Source organism: Homo sapiens, chromosome 12 (assembly GCF_000001405.40).
Source record: "Homo sapiens chromosome 12, GRCh38.p14 Primary Assembly".
NCBI lineage: Eukaryota > Metazoa > Chordata > Mammalia > Primates > Hominidae > Homo > Homo sapiens.
The window spans coordinates 50,648,661-50,667,913 of NC_000012.12; the positions used below are offsets into that span (position 1 = coordinate 50,648,661).

The 19,253-nt window shown below is 39.6% G+C and overlaps 1 protein-coding gene and 1 pseudogene across 1 annotated transcript in view, besides 1 other annotated feature; both read left to right on the forward strand.

Moving 5' to 3' along the window:
- The window catches only part of DIP2B (disco interacting protein 2 homolog B), a 243,673-nt gene that overhangs the window by 143,676 nt on the left and 80,744 nt on the right, over window positions 1–19,253 (forward strand). Inside the window, exon 4 of the mRNA NM_173602.3 lies at window positions 11,534–11,659. Coding sequence (NP_775873.2) covers window positions 11,534–11,659 — 126 coding nt within the window. The remainder of the gene's footprint in view (window positions 1–11,533; window positions 11,660–19,253) is intronic.
- RNU6-238P (RNA, U6 small nuclear 238, pseudogene) lies at window positions 8,313–8,412 on the forward strand (annotated as a pseudogene).
- Window positions 12,744–12,803: an enhancer, noted in NCBI's record as "active region_6363". NCBI's record gives its function as "activates an Ori minimal core promoter by ATAC-STARR-seq in GM12878 lymphoblastoid cells {active_cell/tissue: GM12878}" and the evidence as "EXISTENCE:reporter gene assay evidence [ECO:0000049][PMID:35858748]".

Consider the following 19,253-nt stretch of genomic DNA (forward strand, 5'->3'; position numbering starts at 1 on the left):
CCCCCTTTTTTTTTTTTTTTTGAGTTGGGTTGTTCTTCCCCCCCCCCTCCTTACTTGCAAGGGCTTTTTTTTAATCCTAAAGATACTAACATTTAAATTGTACCATAGGTATTTGCCAGTGCAGATGGACAAGAAAAATCAGTAAGAAGTGTAAGAATTAGAAAAGAAGTAAAACTGTATTTACAGTTTATGTGATAATTTATCTAGAAAACTCGAGAGAATCAATGACAGAATTAACTTAAAACAATTTAGTCAGCAAGATATAAAGCGAGTACAGAAATCAACAACCTTAACATATGCAAATAATAAGCAGTTAAAAGATACAATAGTAGAGCAAACTTCATTTACAAAAGCAATAAAGGTAAAATATATTTAGGAATAAACTTAAGAAATGTCTAAAACCTTTATGAAAAAAACTTTAAAACCCTGAAAGACAAAAAAGTAGACCTAATAAGTGGAAAGAGATCCCTTGTTCTTAGGGCAGTTTAACACCATGAAGACGCCAGGTCTGTCTAAATTACTTTACAAATCTAATCTAATGCCGATAAAAGCTATCAAATTTATTTATAGAGTTAGAAAACTCATTTTTGAAGTTCATTTGGGAAAATAAACATATAAGAATAGCTAAGAGAACACTGAGAAAGAAAAGCTACAAGGAGTGACTGCACGTTCTAGATATTAAAACATCCTATAGAGACTAATTAAAACTGTTTAGTATGGCACACAGATTAGAAGGCAGACCATTGGAATAACAAGTTCAGAGCTAGACAGGCGTATATCTGGGAATTTAGTATACAATAAAGATTACATTACTAATCACCAGGACAAAAATGTACTTTAAATGACACTAGGACAGCTGGAAAAACATTAATTAGCTCCATATCTCACACCATGTATAAGCATAAACTTCAGGCCAGGTGTGGTGGCTCACACCTGTAATCCCAGCAAGTTGGGAGGCCAAAGTGGGCAAATCACTTGAGGTCAGGAGTTCGAGGCCAGGCTGGCCAACATGGTGAAACTCCATCTCTACTAAAAATACAAAAAAATTAGCTGGGTATGGTGATGAGTGCCTGTAGTCCCAGCTACTCAGGATGCTGAGGCATGAGAATCACTTGAACCTAGGAGGTGGAGGCTGCTGTGAGCCGAGATTGTGCCACTGCAATCCGGCCTGGGTGAAAGGGTGAGACTTTGTCTCAAAAAAAAAAGTATAAACTTCAAAAATCAGAGATCTTATGTAAAAGAGAAACCATATTAAGTGCCAAACGAGCCCGTGCACTGTGGCTCACGCCTGTAATCCCAACACTTTGGAAAGCCGAGGCGGGTGGATCACCTGAAGTCAGGAGTTTGAGACCAGCCTGGCCAACATGATGAAACCGCATCTCTACTAAAAATACAAAAAATGAGCCAGGGGTGGTGGTGGGTGCCTGTAATCCTAGCTACTCAGGAGGCTGAGGCAGGAGAATCGCTTGAACCCGGGAGGCGGAGGTTGCAGTGAGCCAAGATCATGCCATTGCACTTCAGCCTGGGCAACAAGAGTGAAACTCTGTCTCAAAAAAAAAAAGTGCCAAATGAAAACATCACAAAACTTTCCTATAATCCAGCCTATAGGAAGGCTCAGAATGCAGATGTAATTTTAAAAATGACATAAAATATTTTTGTTGTGGTTAAAAAACACATAAATTTATCCTTTTGACAGTTTTTAAGTATACGTTACCGTATTGGTAACTGTACGCATGTTATTGTACAGTAGATCTCTAGAACTTCTTCATCTTGTGTGACTGGAATTCCATACCTGTTGAACAACAACTCATTTCCCCCTCCTCTCAGCCTCCAGCAACCACCATTCTACTTCCTGCTTCTGTGAATTTGAGTACTTCATATAACTGGAATCATGCAGTATTTGTCTTTTTGTGATTGGCTTATTTTACTCTGCACAGTGTCCTCAGGTTTCATCCATGTTGTAGCATAAGATGGGATTCCCTTATTTTTTTAAGACTGAATAATATTTCCTTGTATGTATATACCATGTTTTACTTACCTGTTCCACAACAATGGGGATTTGGTTGCTTCCACATCTTAGTTATTGTGAATAATGCTGCAGTGAACATGAGTGTACAAATATCTCTTTGAGATCCTGTTTTCGGTTTATTTGGAGATATATCCAGAAGTGGAATTGCTTGGTCATATGGTAAATCTATTTTTTTAATCTTTGAGGAAACTCCGTACTATTTTCCTTAGAAGCTATATCATTTTACAATCCCACCAGTGGTGCACAAGGATTCCCATTTCTCCAAATCCTCTTCAACACGTATTTTCTGATTTTTTGATATAGAAAAAAAATCTAATGGATGTAAGTAAGGTATGGCCGTTCTAGTGGCTGTGAAGTAGTACCTCATTGTGGTTTTGATTTTCATTTCCTTGAAGAAAGTGATGTTGAGCATTTTTTCATATGATTGTTGGTTGTTTATCTTCTCTGGAGAAATGTCTATTCAAGTTCTTTGCCCATTTAGAAACTTGGGTTAATTTTTTTTGTTACTGGGTTATAGGAGGTCTTTATTTTGGATATTAACGCCCTACCCAATATATGGCTTGTAAATATTTTCTCCAATTTTGCAGGTTATCTTTTTATTCTGTTGATTGTTTCTGTGATGTGCAGAAGTTTTTAAGTTTAATGTAGTCTTATTTGCCTATTTTTGCTCTTACTGCCTGTGGTTTTGCTGTCGCGTTCAATAAATTGTTGTCAAATCCAATGTCATGAAGTTTTTTCCCTCTATTTCCTTCTAGGAGTTTAGTTTCCGGCCTTGCTGGTTAGGTCTTTAATCTATTTTGAGTCAATTTTTGTATATCATGTTAAATAAGGACCCATTTTTCATTCTTTTGCATGTGGATATTCAGTTTTCCTAACACATTTGTTGAAGAAACTATCCTTTCCTCATTGTGTAGTTTTGGCACCTTTGTTGAAGATCATTTGACCTTCTATGTGAGGGTATATTTCCGGGCTCTCTATTGTTCCGTTGGTCTTCCTGTCGGTCTTTATGCCAGTACCAAACTATTTTGAATACTGGAGCTTTGTAATCATTTTTTTTAAAAATAGGGACACAATCTCACTGTGTTTCCCAGGCTGGTCTGGAACTCCTGGACTCAAGCGATTCTCCCCGCTCAGCCTCCCAAAGTGTTGGGATTACTTCTGTGAGCCACCATGCCCATCCTGTAATAGTTTCAAAATAAGGAAATAAAGGCCAGGTGCGGTGGCTCACGCCTGTAATCCCAGCACATTGGGAGGCCAAGGCAGGTGGATCACTTGAGGTCAGGAGTTCAAGACCAGCCTGACCAACATGGTGAAACCGTGTCTCTACTAAAAATACAAAAATTAGCTGGGTGCAGTGGTTCACACCTGTAATCCCGGCTGTTTGGAAGGCTGAGGCGGACGATCACGAAGTCAGGAATTTGAGACTAGCCTGACCAACATGGTGAAACCCCATCTCTACTAAAAATAAAAAAAATTAGCCAGGCGTTGTAGCAGGCACCTCTAATCCCAGCTCCTCAGGAGGCTGAGGCAAGAGAATCACTTGAACCCAGGAGGCGGAGGTTGCAGTGAGCTGAGACTGTGCCACTGCACTCCAGCCTGGGCAACAGAGCGAGACTCTGCAAAAATATATATATTATATATATATAATATATATAATACACACACACACACACACACACACGCACACACACACACAAATTAGCTGGACGTGGTGGCACGTGCCCATAGTCCCAGCTACTTGGGAGGCTGAGGCAGGAGGATCACTTGAACCAGGAGGCAGAGGTTGCAGTGAACTGAGATTACACCATTGCACTCTAGCCTGGGCGACAGACTGAGACTCCATTTCAAAAAAAAGAAGTATGAAGACTTCAGCTTTGTGCTTCTTTTTAAATATTATTTTGGCTATTTGGAATCTTTTGAGATTCTGTGTAAAAAGTTTAGAATTGTTTTTTCTATCTCTGGAAAAAAAATGCCATTGGGATTTTGATAGGGATTCCATTGAATCTTTAAAATGCTTTGGACAGTAACGACATTTTAACAATATAAAGTCTTCCAGTCCATGAACACAGGATCTCTTTCCTATGTCTTCTTTAATTTCTTCCAGAGATGTTTTACAGTTTTTAATGTACAAGTTTTTCACCTCCTCAGTTATGTCTATTCCTAAGTATTTTGTTCTTTTTGATGTTATTATAAATGGCATTATTTTCTTAATTTTCTTTTCAGGTAATTCATTGTTAGTGTATAGAAACACAACTGTTTTTTTTTTTTTAAAGAAACGGGGTCTCCCTCTGTTGCCTAGGCTGGAGTGCAGCGGTGTGATCATAGCTCACTGCAGCCTCCACCTCCTGGGCTCAAGTGATCCTCTTCTTCAGTTTTTCTGAAAGAGTTTGAGAAAGATTTACATTAATTCATATTTAAATGTTTGATAGAATTCTCCAGTGAAGCTGTCAGGTCCTGGGCTTTTCTTTGTTGGGGAGTTTTTAGTTACTGATTCAATCTCCTTACTAGTTATAGATCTGTTGAGATTTTCTGTTTTTTCATGATTCGGTCTTGTTAGGTTTATGTTTCTAAGAATTTATCCAATTTTTTGTAGATTATCCAATTTTTGCCAGGTAATGATTCATAGTAGTCTTTCTTTCTTTTTTTTTTTTCTTTTCTTTTTTTTTTTTTTTTTTTAAGAACTCTCTGTCACCCAGGCTAGAGTGCAGTGGTGCAATTATGGCTCACTACAGCCTCAGTTCTCCCACCTCAACCCCGCCCCTACCCCCAGCCCTGGGTAGCTGGTACTACATGAGCAGACACACCCATGCCCAGCTAATTTTTGTGTTTCTTTGTAGAGACGAGGTGTTGCCATGTTGCCCAGGCTGGTCTCGACCTCCTAGGCTCAAGTGATCTGCCCACCTTGGCCTCCCAAAGTGCTGAGATTACAGGCATGAGCCTCTGTACCCAGCCCATAGTCTCTTATAATTCCTTTTATTTCTGAGGCATCCAGTTGTAATGTCTCCTCTTTTATTTCTTATTTTAGTTATTTGAATCTTCTTTTTTTTTCTCAAGAAAGCTAAGGATTTGTCAATTTTGTTGATCTTTTCAAAAAAACAACTCATTTGTTGATTTTGCACCCATTTCTCTGTTCTCTGTTTCATTTAATTCTACTGTAATCTTTATTATTTCTTTCCTTTTGCTATTTTTTTTGTTTGTTTTTGAGACAGAGCCTTACTCTGTTGCCCAGGCTGGAGTGCAGTGGCGTGATCTCAGCTCACTGCAACCTCCACCTCCTGGGTTCAAGCAATTCTCCTGCCTCAGCCTCCTGAGTAGCTGGGATTACAGGTGCACGCTACCACACCTGGCTACTTTTTGTATTTTTAGTAGAGACGGGGTTTTACCTTGTTGGCCAGGCTGTTCTGGAACTCCTGGCCTCAGATGATCTACCCGCCTTGGCCTCCCAAAGTGCTGGGATTACAAGCGTGAACCACCACGCCCAGCACCTTCTGCTAATTTTGGATTCGTTTGTTCTTTTTTTAGTTCCTTATGATGTAGTTTGGTTGTTGATTTGAGAACTTAATTCTATAATAATTTTTAAAAACCCATCTTTTGCATGGTTTAAAAAAAGCCATAAACAATGTCAAAAAAACAGATGCCATACTGAAAGAAAATATTTCTTTCTTTCTTTTTTTTTTTTTTTAAAGATAGAGTGTAACTCTGTTGCCCAGGCTGGAGTGCAAGTAGTGTGATCATGGCTCAGGCAGCCTCGACCTCCTGTGCTCAAGTGATCCTCCTGCCTCAGCCTCCTGAGTAGCTGGCCCTACAGGCACATGCCACCACATGGCTAATTTTTTATTTTTTGTAGAGGTAGTGTTTTATTATGTTGCCCAGGCTGGTCTCTTACCCTTGGGCTCATGCAGTCCTCCCATTTTGGCCTCCCCAAATGCTTGGATTACAGGTATGAGTCATCACACCTGGCCCGAAAATATAAGGAAAATTAAATAAACAGAGAAGGCTGATATAAAAAATGGCCAAGTGACATGAACATTCACTTCACTTAATAACAGACAACATAAAATGGCCCTTAAGTCCTCTGTAAAAATGTTTAATCTCATTAATGATCAAGGAAACACAAATTAAAACTATACTAGGATATGAATTCTTAGCTGTCAAGTTGGCAGCAATCAAAAAGCTAGACAACACACTCTGAAGGTTAGGCGGTGGGGAAGTAGGTATACCTGTACATTGCTAGTAGTAATGCAGTGTGGTAAAAACTGTTTTGGGGGAGGAATTTTTCAAGATGTGACAAAATTTAACACGTATTTGCTTTTTTATTTAGAATTCTCTCTTGTCAGAATTTACTCTGAAGGTAAGCCCTGATTAGTGTAAAAATATATTTGCAGGAGGCTATTTGTTGCATTATTTTTAACTGTAAAATATTAGAAACATCTACATGCCCAGACATAGGATAATAGTTGAATAAACTGTGTACAGTAGTGTACTATACAGCTGTAAAAAAGAATGAAGAGAGCTGAAAGAGAATGATTTCCAGGGTATATTGTTAAGTGGAAAAGCAAAGTGCAAAAAAATACAATATGCTTACTTTTGTGTATGAAAGACAGGGAAATGAAAAGATATACATGTCTGCTTATTTGTGTAAACAATAGTAAATATGTATGTATCTACTACCTATAGCAAAGGTGGGTGGGATTGGGGCAGAAGTGATTGTTCGGGTAGTAATACTTCTTTAAGCTAACTTTTTGGTATAGTTTTGACTTTTGGAACATGTTAACTTTTAATCAGCAAGATTGGGAAAGACTTATAGAATATAAACAAAAAAATGAACCTAACTATGTGAACTATATAACCACATCAAAGCAGGAAAGGATGAGAACTAACTCAAACAGCTTTTGACCATGATACTTTAACTATATGTCCTCAGTCTAAAGACCAAAAGGACTACAAATAAATACTGAACACTAGTTAGAAGATTTATTTTTCATATTGACGTAAGATAGCAATTTTTGGCTGGGTGCAGTGGCTCACGCCCATAATCCCAGCACTTTGGGAGGCCAAGGCGGGTGGATTGCTTGAGCCCAGGAATTTGAGAGCAACCTGGGCAACATAGTGAAACTCCATCTCTACCAAAAATACAAAAAATTAGCTGGGTGTGCACCTGTGGTCCCAGCTACTCACACGAGTTTGAGGTGAGAGGATTGCTTGAGCCTGGGATGTGGAGGTTGCAGTGAGCTGAGATCATGCCACTGCACTCCAGCCTGGGTGACAGAGTGAGACCCTGTCCCAAAAATAAAAAATAAACAATTTTTAAAATGTACTTCCTGTGTATGGTAGGATTAAGAAATGAGTAAAATATATTGAAAATGTTGTTTCATCCTATTAGAGAAGGGAATTATAAGTGGAAAGAGGGAAAATTAGAATGATATTGAATTGGAAATGGAGGTATTAATATGAACTCATCATTTTAAATATAGTTAGAAACAGATGTAGTTATATGTATATGAATTTCTTGATCCACCAAAAGGGCTTAGAAAAGATACCCCAATAGCACTGAGTACCCCTGCTTCTAAGATTTGGTTTCTAAATACCATTCATTCTTCACTAAAAGGAGCCACTTTTCCTTGAAGAAAGGTATAATTCTAGGTCTGGAGGAGGAAAAGTACCTCATGAGCATGGAATATCTTATGTCATAAAACAACTGCTCAAAATTAAGGAACTGTGTCCAAAGGACATAAGAACCCATATGAAGGGACTCCTATTGGCCAAGTCTGCCAAAATATGAGCATCAAAATAATGATAGTAACAGAATAGTCATGGAATAAAATGAGAATCCATGGGCTCATAGTGATATAAATAACTAAGGGAGAAAGGAAAGCTTTTTTTCTTTCTTTTTTTCTTTTGAGATGGAGTCTCGCTCTTTCACCCAGGCGGGAGTGCAGTGGCACAATCTTGGCTCACTGTAACCTCCGCTTCCCAGGTTCAAGCAATTCTTGTGCCTCAGCCTCCCAAGTAGCTGGGACTACAGGCATGCGCCACCATGCTCAGCTAATTTTTGTATTTTCAGTGGAGATGGGGTTTTGCCACGTTGGTCAGGCTGGTTTCGAACTCCTGACCTCAGGTGATGCACCCTCTTCGGCCTCCCAAAGTGCTGGAATTACAGGCATGAGTCACCATGCTGGCCAGGAAAACTTTTTCTTATAATAAATACCAACTAATAAATATGGAAGAAATGGTAGAGCTATAAAATTATCATATTGTAATTGTTATTATCATAATTGATTCCGTGCTCACTTCAGCAGCACATATACTAAAATTGGAACGATACAGGGAAGATTAACATGGCCCCTGAGCAAGGTGACACACAAACTCGTGAAATGTTCCATTAAAAATAAAAAATATTTTTTAAAAAAATGGCAGGTGTGGTGGCCCACACCTGTAATCCTATTCACTTTTGGATGCCAAGGCAGGAGAATCCCTTGAGCCCAGGAGTTTGAGACAGCCTGGGCAACATAGGGAGACCCCATCTCTATTTACAAAAAAAAAAAAAAAAAAAAAAGTTGATTCCACCAAGAATTATCAATGGATGCTAAAACTAGTGAGTTGAAAGGTTGACAAAGTATGTAACATTTATATAGTCTCAAAAGTATCCTCCCATGAATTACTTATTAATTGCAAACGGAAGAATGGTTAAGTTTACAGTGAGTTTATTTAGCAGATACCATAGTGACCAAAGTAACCAACTTTGCAATTAGAGTTATGTTACCATAGTGGAGCAGACACCTCCTGACATCATGTTTTGAGAAAGACATTATTTCTGGCTGGGCATGGTGGCTCATGCTTGTAATCCCAGTGCAGCATTTTGGGGGCTGAAGCAGGAGGATTCCTTGAGACCAGTAGTTGGAGACCAGCCTGGGCAATGTAGTGACACCCCATCTTTACAAAAAAAAAAAGAAGAAGACAACAAATTATTTCTATGGTATTTCTGCCAAATTGCATAACCTGAAATTAATTATAAGGAAATATCAAGCAAGCCAAAATTAAAGAACATTTTACAAAATAACTAGTCTGTACAAAAATATCAAGATAATAAAAGGCAAAGTAAGGCTGAGAAACAGTTCTGGATTATAGGGGAATCAAGAGACAGGACAACTAAGTAGGATTTCCTCCAGTAGATCCCAGATCAGGAAAAAAGGTGGGAGGGAAAACCTATAGAGGACATTATTGGGACAATAGACTATGTTGGAATATGGATTGTGGGTTAGATAATAGTTTGTATCAATGTTGAATTTCTGTATTTTGGCTGGTAATCCCAGCACTTCGGGAGACTGAGGCGGGTGGATCGCTGGAGCCCAGTTCAAGACCAACCCTAGGCAGCATACATAGCAAGACCTCATCTCAAAAAAAAAAAAAAAGAAAGAAAAAAAAGAAAAACAAGAATTTCTGGGGTTTGTTGTTTTGTTTTTTTGAGACAGAGTCTTGCTCTGTCGCCCAGGCTGGAGTACAATGGTGTGATCTCGGCTCACTGCAACCTCCGCCTGCTGGGTTCAAGTGATTCTTCTGCCTCAGCCTCCTGAGTAGCTGGAATTACAGGTGCGTGCTACCATGCCTGGCTAATTTCTGTATTTTTAGTAGAGACAGGGTTTTACCATGTTGGCCAGGCTGGTCTTGAACTCCTGACTTCAAGTTATCCACCCACTTAGGCCTCCCAAAGTGCTGGGATTACAGGTGTGAGCCATTGCACCCGGCCAATTTTTCTGGATTTTGAATAATGTCCTGGGGTTATATAAGAGAAAATTCCTTATTTTTAGGAAATATGTTTGAAACATTTCTGAAGAAATAAGTACATATACTTTGATCTCAGCAGTTTTTGTAATTAATTCTAAGAAAATAATTAGACATGTGCTAAGGTGAAAATACTGAATTATTCTTTCTATGAATAATTTCAAAAATTTGGAAATAACCTAGTATCTGATAATAAGGAATTGTGTAAGTAAATCATGGCACATTCATGCAGTGAAATACTATGCAGCCCTTAAAAGTTATGTTGTTGGTCTGTACACAGTGAGGTGTTTCTCCTTGTATTAGTGGAGGTTTTTTGGTTGCAAGAAACAGAAGCTGGCCGGGCGTGGTGGCTCACGCCTGTAATCCCAGCACTTTAGTAGGCCGAGGCGGGCAGATGACAAGGTCAGGAGTTCAAGGCCAGCCTGACCAAGATGGTGAAACCCCACCTCTACTAAAAATGCAAAAATTAGCTGGGCGTGGTGGCGTGTACCTGTAGTCCCAGCTACTTGGGAGGCTGAGACAGGAAAATGGCTTGAACCTGGGAGGCAGAGGTTGCAGTGAGCTGAGATTGCGCCACTGCACTCCAGCCTGGGCGACAGAGCGACACTCCATCTCAAAAAAAACAGGTCAACTTACATAGGCTACCTTAAATAGCTGAGGTAGGTCATAGAAACAAATCAACATTTGAAAAACCCCTAGAAAGGAGAGATAACTCTGGGAATCTCAACCTTGAAGTTTAAAACCTTCCTTCTTTCTAGGGCATTGTCACATTGTCGTTAAAGTGATTCCATTTAGGACCTGCAGTTTCTTGATTCAGAGTTTAAATTTAAAAAAGAGGATCTCATTGGTCTAGCTCTTATAAGGGGTATATTTACTTTACAGAGCGGTATGGAAGGATAGTTTGTTTGTGGATTAGGCCCATTCCTAGACAAAAGGAAACTATTTTTTTTGTGACTTAGGAAGCTACCTCAGCTGTTATCTACCTCAGTAAGATTTTGTAAGAGTTTTTTTTTTTTTTAGCGGGATACAAAATACTGTGTACAGTATGATTCAATTTTGTGGAACTATAGAGTGACCTTTGGAGTGGGGGTAGAAAATGAAGAGTTTTGTTTGGATGTGTTAATTTTGAGATTCCTATTAGACATTCAAGTAGAGAGCTGAAATTTTTTGTGCCCAAAGTGGCAAACAATTAACATCTGCCCTTATGTTTTTCTAGATCAAAATAAATCCTTCTCTTCCTGTGGCATAGAACTGAGGGGTCTCAACCAAGTTTTCTTTCAGACTTGAAAGAAATTTTCTTTCAGTTAAGAAAATCCTAAGCTTCTTTTCTTGAAAAATAATGAGTGTTCTCCAGGCACCTGCACAGCGCTCATTCCATTTGAGGCAGAATTTCCTGCTTGGCACAGATGCATGTTAGACTCAGTATTCTGTCCCCACCCACCTCCCCACATCTCTGTCAACTCTTTGTCTGGTGTGTTAAGGAGTCACACATCATTCTGGACTTCATTTTCCTCCTCCGTAAAATTATCCCTGGCTTCTTTTATTTTTGTTTTTGATTTTTATTTCTAATTGGTCTTAATCAAATTATAAATAAAAATCATCTGAACGTCCCCTTTACCTTTTTTTTTTTTTTTAAACAATTGAGGCAGTGATAGTTCAGCTCACAGTGGTAAACACTTTCAAGAGCCGGAAGCTAATAAATGCAAATGTTTGCTTTTTCAGATATCCACACAGAAGCAGTTCAGGCTGCACTGGCAAAGCATAAAGAACAGAAGATGGCTTTGCCCATGCCAACCAAAAGGCGATCCACATTTGTTCAGTCTCCTGCAGATGCCTGCACACCTCCTGGTAGGTTTATCAGAGCTTTTTCTCTCTGACAGTTAATACCTTGATGTTCCTGAAATAAGTTCTGCTTTTTCTTTTCTGAGGTAAGAACCAGAATCTTCTCCCCGCCATTAGAGGAATGTAAGAGAACACTCTGAGGTGGCAGATTTTGCTTGTCATCTCGTAAACAACACACAAAAAGATGTCTTAAGAGTAAAACTATTCAAAACTAAACAAAAAAACTTTCCTTCTGAATTTCCAGTCTTTTTTTTTTTTGGCTGTAATCCCCAGACTTATGTAGTCATAAATACAGGCCAAAGCTTAGGCCAAAATCCTGCTGTGTTAAATAGCCACTTTCATTGTCACCCAATATACTACTTGTAGTCATATATCTAATTCATTTGTACTCCTAAACCAAATGCTTCGTCTCTGCAGCAGGCATGAGAATTGTTGGACTTGGGACAAAAGTTTTTGTGTCATTAACAATTATGGAAGAGCAATCATGCAAAGTTGTGATGGACCTGCAAAACGTATATAAGTGTGTTTATGTGTGTGTGTGTTAATGTATTTTGTACACATTTATTTATTTTTTAAGAATCTACTTTTTATAACGGGGTCATGAGATCAGTGAGAACTAGGTATCTTCATCCCATCCCTGTTCACCAGACTTCAATCCTTATGCTCCCTAAGGTAAATTTAAAGAGTTATAACTTCATATTTGAGGAATAACTAGAAACAATCTAAGTTGTCTTGTCTGTTCAGAATCTCTCCCAAAGTTTTTTTAAAACCTTAAAAAAAATTTTTTTTGAACTTCTCTAGTGGAAGCTCGAAAAAAATTTTTTTTAGATCGAATCCCAGACAAGATCTTGATATAGGCCTTTGAGACTAAACATAGTAAATCTATTTCAGAGCCTCAATATAGTGTCTCTCTTTCTACTTTCATGTTACTGGTAATGAAATCTTTGAGAACAAATTTCCCCATACTTTTTTGGCCTAAACTACTTAATACGTCTTTGGGGAGATTCCTAGGTTGCCTTATGGTTGACTTTGATTCACAGCTGTCAAGTTGTTGAGCTGTTCATACTGATCCTATTCCCTGATCCAGATTAATATTAATAGTTTTCTTCTCGGTTTTGGCTAACTTCTCAGAGCATTTGGGTATGCTGTGGGCTCATTTACTGTGTGTGCTTTTTTTCTTCACATCTGTGGTGTCAACATGTTTGAAAGAGAAATAGCTCTGTGGCTTCAAGTGTTTCTCAAAATGTATCACAGGGTACCTCTAGCCGGCTATCACAGTAAGACAGTTTGTGTCTATAATGGTGCATACCTCAAACCTACTCATTGAAAATCTTGGATGGTTTCCCTTCCACATTAGTACAGCACAAGTTGGGTCCTCATGGACAAAGGGGGCTCTCAGTTTAGTAGCTATTCCTTTTTGGCAGATTACACTGCAGTGTGGCTGAGGGTTCAGTTGCAGTAAATGGCAAAGGGTAGGGAGCAGCATGACATGTAGTTCTTGGAAATAATCCCCTCCAAAGCTGTATCAAAGACATGCAGTTTCAGAGTAAATAGGCTGCCCTTATGGCTTTGGGTGAAATGTGAGAATGCAGCAAAGACCTTGAGAATGCTCAGAAGGAGTGGAAACCTTTTTTATCCGCTTTTACAAAAGTCACTGCCTGAGGGGAATTCACGAACTCTAGAAACAAATCGCAGCTGTTCATTGCTGAATGAGACTGTAGTCCTTTGAAATTAACTATAGGCCTCTGTATTTCTAGACACTAATGTTCTCCTCTGTCTGCAGCCTTGACGTTGTGGCCTAATGTTCTTGATCATATTATATGTTTTATACATAATAATTTCATGATTCCAAAGATACAATCCTTTCTCCTAAGACTTGTATTCAGCAGAACAGAGTAATAAAAAGGTTCTGTACCCATTTATCTCCTGTTCTGGGGATCTCTGGGTAGTATCTGAGAAGGCTTCATGTGCTGTGAGGGACATCTGTGTTGTCAAATAGAAGAGGAATTCTCTCACAACAAGGGGAAACATTGAGCGCACCCTGCATAGTGATTTCTCACACAGCCCCCACATGGGATATCTTGATGCTGTCATGCAACAATTACACACATGCCTAAGACAAATACTTTGCTCTAGTGAGGAAATTTGGGAAGAACTCTTATCATAAGGCTTCCATTAGCCCCTTTCATTTTAGGGAGTAGAATTTGCTGTTCCCACATTAGGAATCGATTCCATTCTCTCCAAGATCTTAAGAGCTACCAATTGGCTGTTTCCAATGCCTAGTTGTAGCTTAATCCTACATCAGTATCTCCCAGAACTTGTTACAGCCTAACCCAGCGATGTGGAATAGGTTTTATCTCGCATATGTACTCTGATAGCCATAGAAACACTGAAGCTTAGAAGATGCCGAGGCTGTGTTCAAGGGAAGGGAGGAGGAAGAAAACTTACATTAATCATTGCCATTAAAGTCTTTAAAAAAAAAATGAGCTTCTGGCCAGCTACCAAAGTGACCTAAAGCGGGGTACGGTGGCTCATGCCTGTAATCCCAGCACTTTAGGAGGCTGAGGCAGGCAGATCAGGAGGTCAGGAGTTCGAGATCAGCCTGACCAACAAGGTGAAACCCCGTCCCGGCTAAAAATACAAAAATTAGCCAGGTGTGGTGGTGCGTTCCTATAGTCCCAGCCACTCAGGAGGCTGAGGCAGGGGAATTACTTGAACCCGGGAGGCAGAGGTCGCAGTGAGCCGAGATCGCGCCATTCAGTCCAGCCTGGGTGACAGAGCGAGACTCCATCTCAAAAAACAAAACAAAAGTGACCTAAGAACAGTTGTGGTGCCGGGCGCAGTGGCTCACGCCTGTAATCCCAGCACTTTGGGAGGCTGAGGCGGGTGGATCACAAGGTCAGGAGATCGAGACCATCCTGGCTAACACAGTGAACCCCGTCTCTACTAAAAATACAAAAAATTAGCCGGGCGTGGTGGCAGCGCCTGAAGTCCCAACACTTTGGGAGGCCGAGGCGGGTGGATCACAAGGTCAGGAGATCGAGACCATCCTGGCTAACACAGTGAACCCCGTCTCTACTAAAAATACAAAAAATTAGCCGGGCGTGGTGGCAGCGCCTGTAGTCCCAGCTACTCGGGAGGCTGAGGCAGGAGAATGGCGTGAACCTGGAAGGCAGAGCTTGCAGTGAGCCGAGACCGCGCCACTGCATTCCAGCCTGGGCAACAGAGCCAGACTCCGTCTCAAATAAATAAATAAATAAATAAATAAAACAGTTGTGGCCAGGTGTGTTGGCTCATACCTGTAATCTTCACACTTTGGGAGGCTGAGGTGGGAGGATTGCTTGAGCCTAGGAGGGGACCAGCCTGTGCAATATAGCGAGACCCCATCTCTACAAAAAATTAAAAAGTTAGCTGACTGTGGTAGTGCATGTCTGTTGTTCCAGCTACTTGAGAGGCTGAGGTGGGAGGATCGCTTGATCCCCAGAGGTCAAGGCTGCAGTGAGCCGAGATCAATCAACCGTACTCCAACCTGGGAGACAGAGTGAGGCCCCATCTCTTTAAAAAAAAAAAAAAAAAAAAAAGCAAACAAAAAGTTGTACCACTCTTGCAGGGAAAAATTAGCCTAATAGCCTAATATTTTACAGGATTTAGTTGCATCTTTCTTTGTACACTGCCTGAGATGTTACAGCATACATCATAAAGCACATCTTGGGTCAAGGCTGTCACTCTGCACTTGCTGTCTTGTATGCACCTGGTTTCTGGGATAACTTCTAGAGTGCACCAGCCAGTCAGCTTCTTTGGGAGGCACTCAATACGTAACTGTTTGAATTACTGAACTGATGAAAATTTAGAGCTGCTCTTTTTGAGGGATTTAATAAAAAGGATTAAGGAGTAAAATATGTCAGATATTTTGGCTTTATTTATAGTATCATATAGTCTGGAAAATATGGTAAATAGTTGGCATGGGAAATAATTTGTCTTTTGTTCACAAATCACCTGATAAGATGTCAGTCACCCTAAAATTTGCTTATTGAATTATGTACACTAATTTCTATCTTGTGAATTAGAAAATTTAAATTCTCTAAATTGGTAGCAATCTATGGTTCTTTTAGTGCTTGTGGCCTTTTTCAGAGTCTTTTAGACTGCTTGAATTACTGCCATCCAGTTCCCTTTATGTGCTGAAATCATTTACTAATGTCATGAGGCAATTACCTCAGCTCTTTCTTTGTAGGGGTTCTTTGTGTAATGCTATTACTCATTCATACGGAAAAGCACAACGCAAAAACTACAGCATATATTTTTTCCCTCTAAGCTTTTTCCGCACCCTTGTGGACTTACCCTTTGCTGCGTTCTGAGAGTGCACAGATGACCAAATAGACCACATAATGACCCTAAAGCACAGTAAGCTATTTCAACTAGCTTAAATTTAGAAGTCTGTCTCACACAGGACTCTGCTTGAGAGTAGCTAGAGTAATTCATAGGGCCAGAAGACAAGGAGAATTTCCCTCCTTTTTTGGTTTTTGTTTTTTTTTTTTTTTTTTTTTTTTTTTTTTTTTTTTGACACAGTCTCTGTCACCCAGGCTGGAGTATAGTGGCTCAATCACAATTCACTGCAGTCTCAAACTCCCAGGGTCAAGCAGTCCTCCCACCTCAGCCTCTCTAGTAGCTGGAACTGCAGGTGCATGCTGCCACACCCGGCTAATATTTTTATTTTTTGTAGAGTTGGAGATGGGGTCTCACTGTGTTGCTCAAGCTGGCCTCAAACTCCTGGGCTCAAGAGATTCTCCAAAGTGTTGGGATTATAGGCATGAGCCACCACACCCTGCTCTATATTTCTATATATGAAAATGATACCCAGCAACAGATTGGGATATTATCCTTTTAACCTACTTTAATAATGCTTCATGGAATTATAGTACATTATGGTATGCAAAGAACTTTCACATACTAATGACCGCCCTGTGTCATTTGTTTCTCATAAATACTCTGTAAAGTAGGAAGGGCAGATTTAGAGATAAGGAAATAAGCAAGTTCATAGTCGCTAAGTAATTTGCCCCAGGTCAAATAGCAATTAAGTGTCAAACTCAAAATCTTGATTGTGTTCATTATTCCACTGAAGTGTCATGTTTATTTAGAAAATTCTATTTACTTTATAGCCGCGACTCATGCCTATAATCCCAGCACTTTGGGAGGCTGAGGCCCGAGGATCCTTTCAGCCCAGGAGTTTGAGACCAGCCTGGGCAACATAGCAAGAGTTATCATCTCTACAAATAATTTTTTTTAATTCCTTCATAGTGCTAAATAAAATAAAAATTTTAAAAATTAGCTGGGTATGGTAGTGTGTGCCTGTGGTTGTAGCCACTCAGGAGGCTGAGGTGGGAGAATCACTTCAGTCAAGGCTGCAGTGAACCATAATCACAGCACTGTACTCCAGCCTGGGTGACAGAGTGAAACCTCAACTGAAAAAAAAAAAAAAAAATTCCTCTTTCCCTAATAGATACTCACGTGTATGCATGGTACTGGAATGAGCATTTTTACAACCAAATTAAATAACTGTTGTCTTCTGAATGGTTATAGTCCTAAATATGTATCAGTCAGTTAATTTGAACTTAGAATACCTGCTGATTTACCAGGTTGGGGAGTCTTTCCTAAATATTCTAATTTTAACCTAAACCACAAAGTAAACAAAGTTGGCAAATCAGACCTCCATAATAAATGTGCTCTAATTAATAGAGTCAGATCATTTTAATAGTGTATTTTATGATTGGTGTGGGGTAGGACCAATGGTCCACAATTACTTGGGAGACTAGTGAATATCCAGTGTTCTTTAAGCCAAAGTACAATAAAAACCCACTGTATCCGGTTGAATTTGTTTCAATACCTGATTGTAAAATTTAAGGTTTGCTGATAAGAGTAATGTTATGGTTACCATTTATTGCATGCCCTCAGTGTACCAGTCAAAGGGCTAAGTGCTTAACATATATTTTTTTCATTTTTAGTTCACTCAACAGTTTTCTACCCCATTTTACAGAAGAGAAAACAGGTTTAGAGAGGCTCAATAACTTGCCCAGACTTCTGTTTTTAGACATATCAGTTAGATAACCTGAAAATTATCTCCTAGAAAGATAGGGGAAAGAAAATGTTCTTTTAGAAATACTGGGTAAAATGTAACCAGCTTTTTAAAAAATGTATACAGGAGCAAGGGAGAATGATGAACACTGAAAAATCAGAATGGTGAGGTGGTGCTTACTTCCGCTGGGCTGTAGGGAGGAGAATCAGCAAGCCAGGGACCTTAATGTTAACTATAATGATAAAACCTTGGGCCCATCTAAGGTTGCAAGCTGGAATTAAGATCCCTGGAGGGACTTGCATCTTTAGCAGTTGGGTGAATTAGAAAAAAGGAACCTGTCAAAAAAGCTTGCCTGAGGCCGGGCGTGGTGGCTCACGCCTGTAATCCCAGAACTTTGGGAGGCTGAGGTGGGTGGATCACGAGGTCAGGAGATCAAGACCATCCTGGCTAACACGCTGAAACCTTGTCTCTACTAAATAATACAAAAAATTAGCCGGGCATGGTGGCGGGCGCCTGTAGTCCCAGCTACTCGGGACGCTGAGGCAGGAGACCCTGTCTCAAAAAAAGAATAAAAGGAATTAGCAAATTCCTGGGCTCAGGCCATCCTCTCAAGTAGCTGAGACTATAGGCACACACCACCACACTTAGCTAAGTTTTGCATTTTTTGTAGAGACAGGTTTTTGTCATGTTGCCCAGGCTGGTCTCAAACTCCTGAGCTCAAGCAGTTCATCCGCCTCAACCTCCCAAAGTGCTTGGGATTACAGGCGTGAGACAATGCGCCCGGCCAACATGCTAATTGTTTATATGTTTACTAATTGGTTATAGATGGATTGTAGGCTTCTGGTGACCAGTATTCAATGGTGCCTTGTTAAAATCACAGCAGATTATAAACTGAAAGGCAAACTATGTTTTCAGAATTGTTTTCTGTTGCGTATTCGTTATATATAAGAGCTTAGGGAAGATGTTTTATTTATAAGTGATAACAGTCATGAGTTTATTTTTAATCAGAGCAGAATCAGTAGGGAAATGATAAATTTCTATTATTTAATTTTGCCCAAATTTCTACAAATTCATAACAATTTCCTGGGTGACAAATTGCTTTTAAAATAATATTTAAGGGACCTTGTTTTGATTTTTAAAAAGATACAATCCCAGAGCAGTGCTACATTTTATGTAGACTTCACTACATAATCGTCTTTTAACTTTACCCGGATAGTTTCTTATCTGTGACCATAGGTTGAGTTATTCATAGTAAGCACCTCATTTCTCAGGTGGCATCATTTGGCACAGTATTATTTTCTTCTACCAACTGTTAGTCAGTTTCTGCTATCTTTCCCTTCATGTTTATAGGAAGCAATTAGCCATTTAAATTACTCTTAGGAAAAATTTCAGGTTATTCCAAATCAAAAAGAAATACACATTCCTTTTAACCATTCTCCTGGGGATTAGAAGAGGAATTAATGTTGATTGGCCAGGTGCTATGGGCTGGCACCAGTATGGGTGCTTTCTGTACAGTGTCTTTGTTCATGG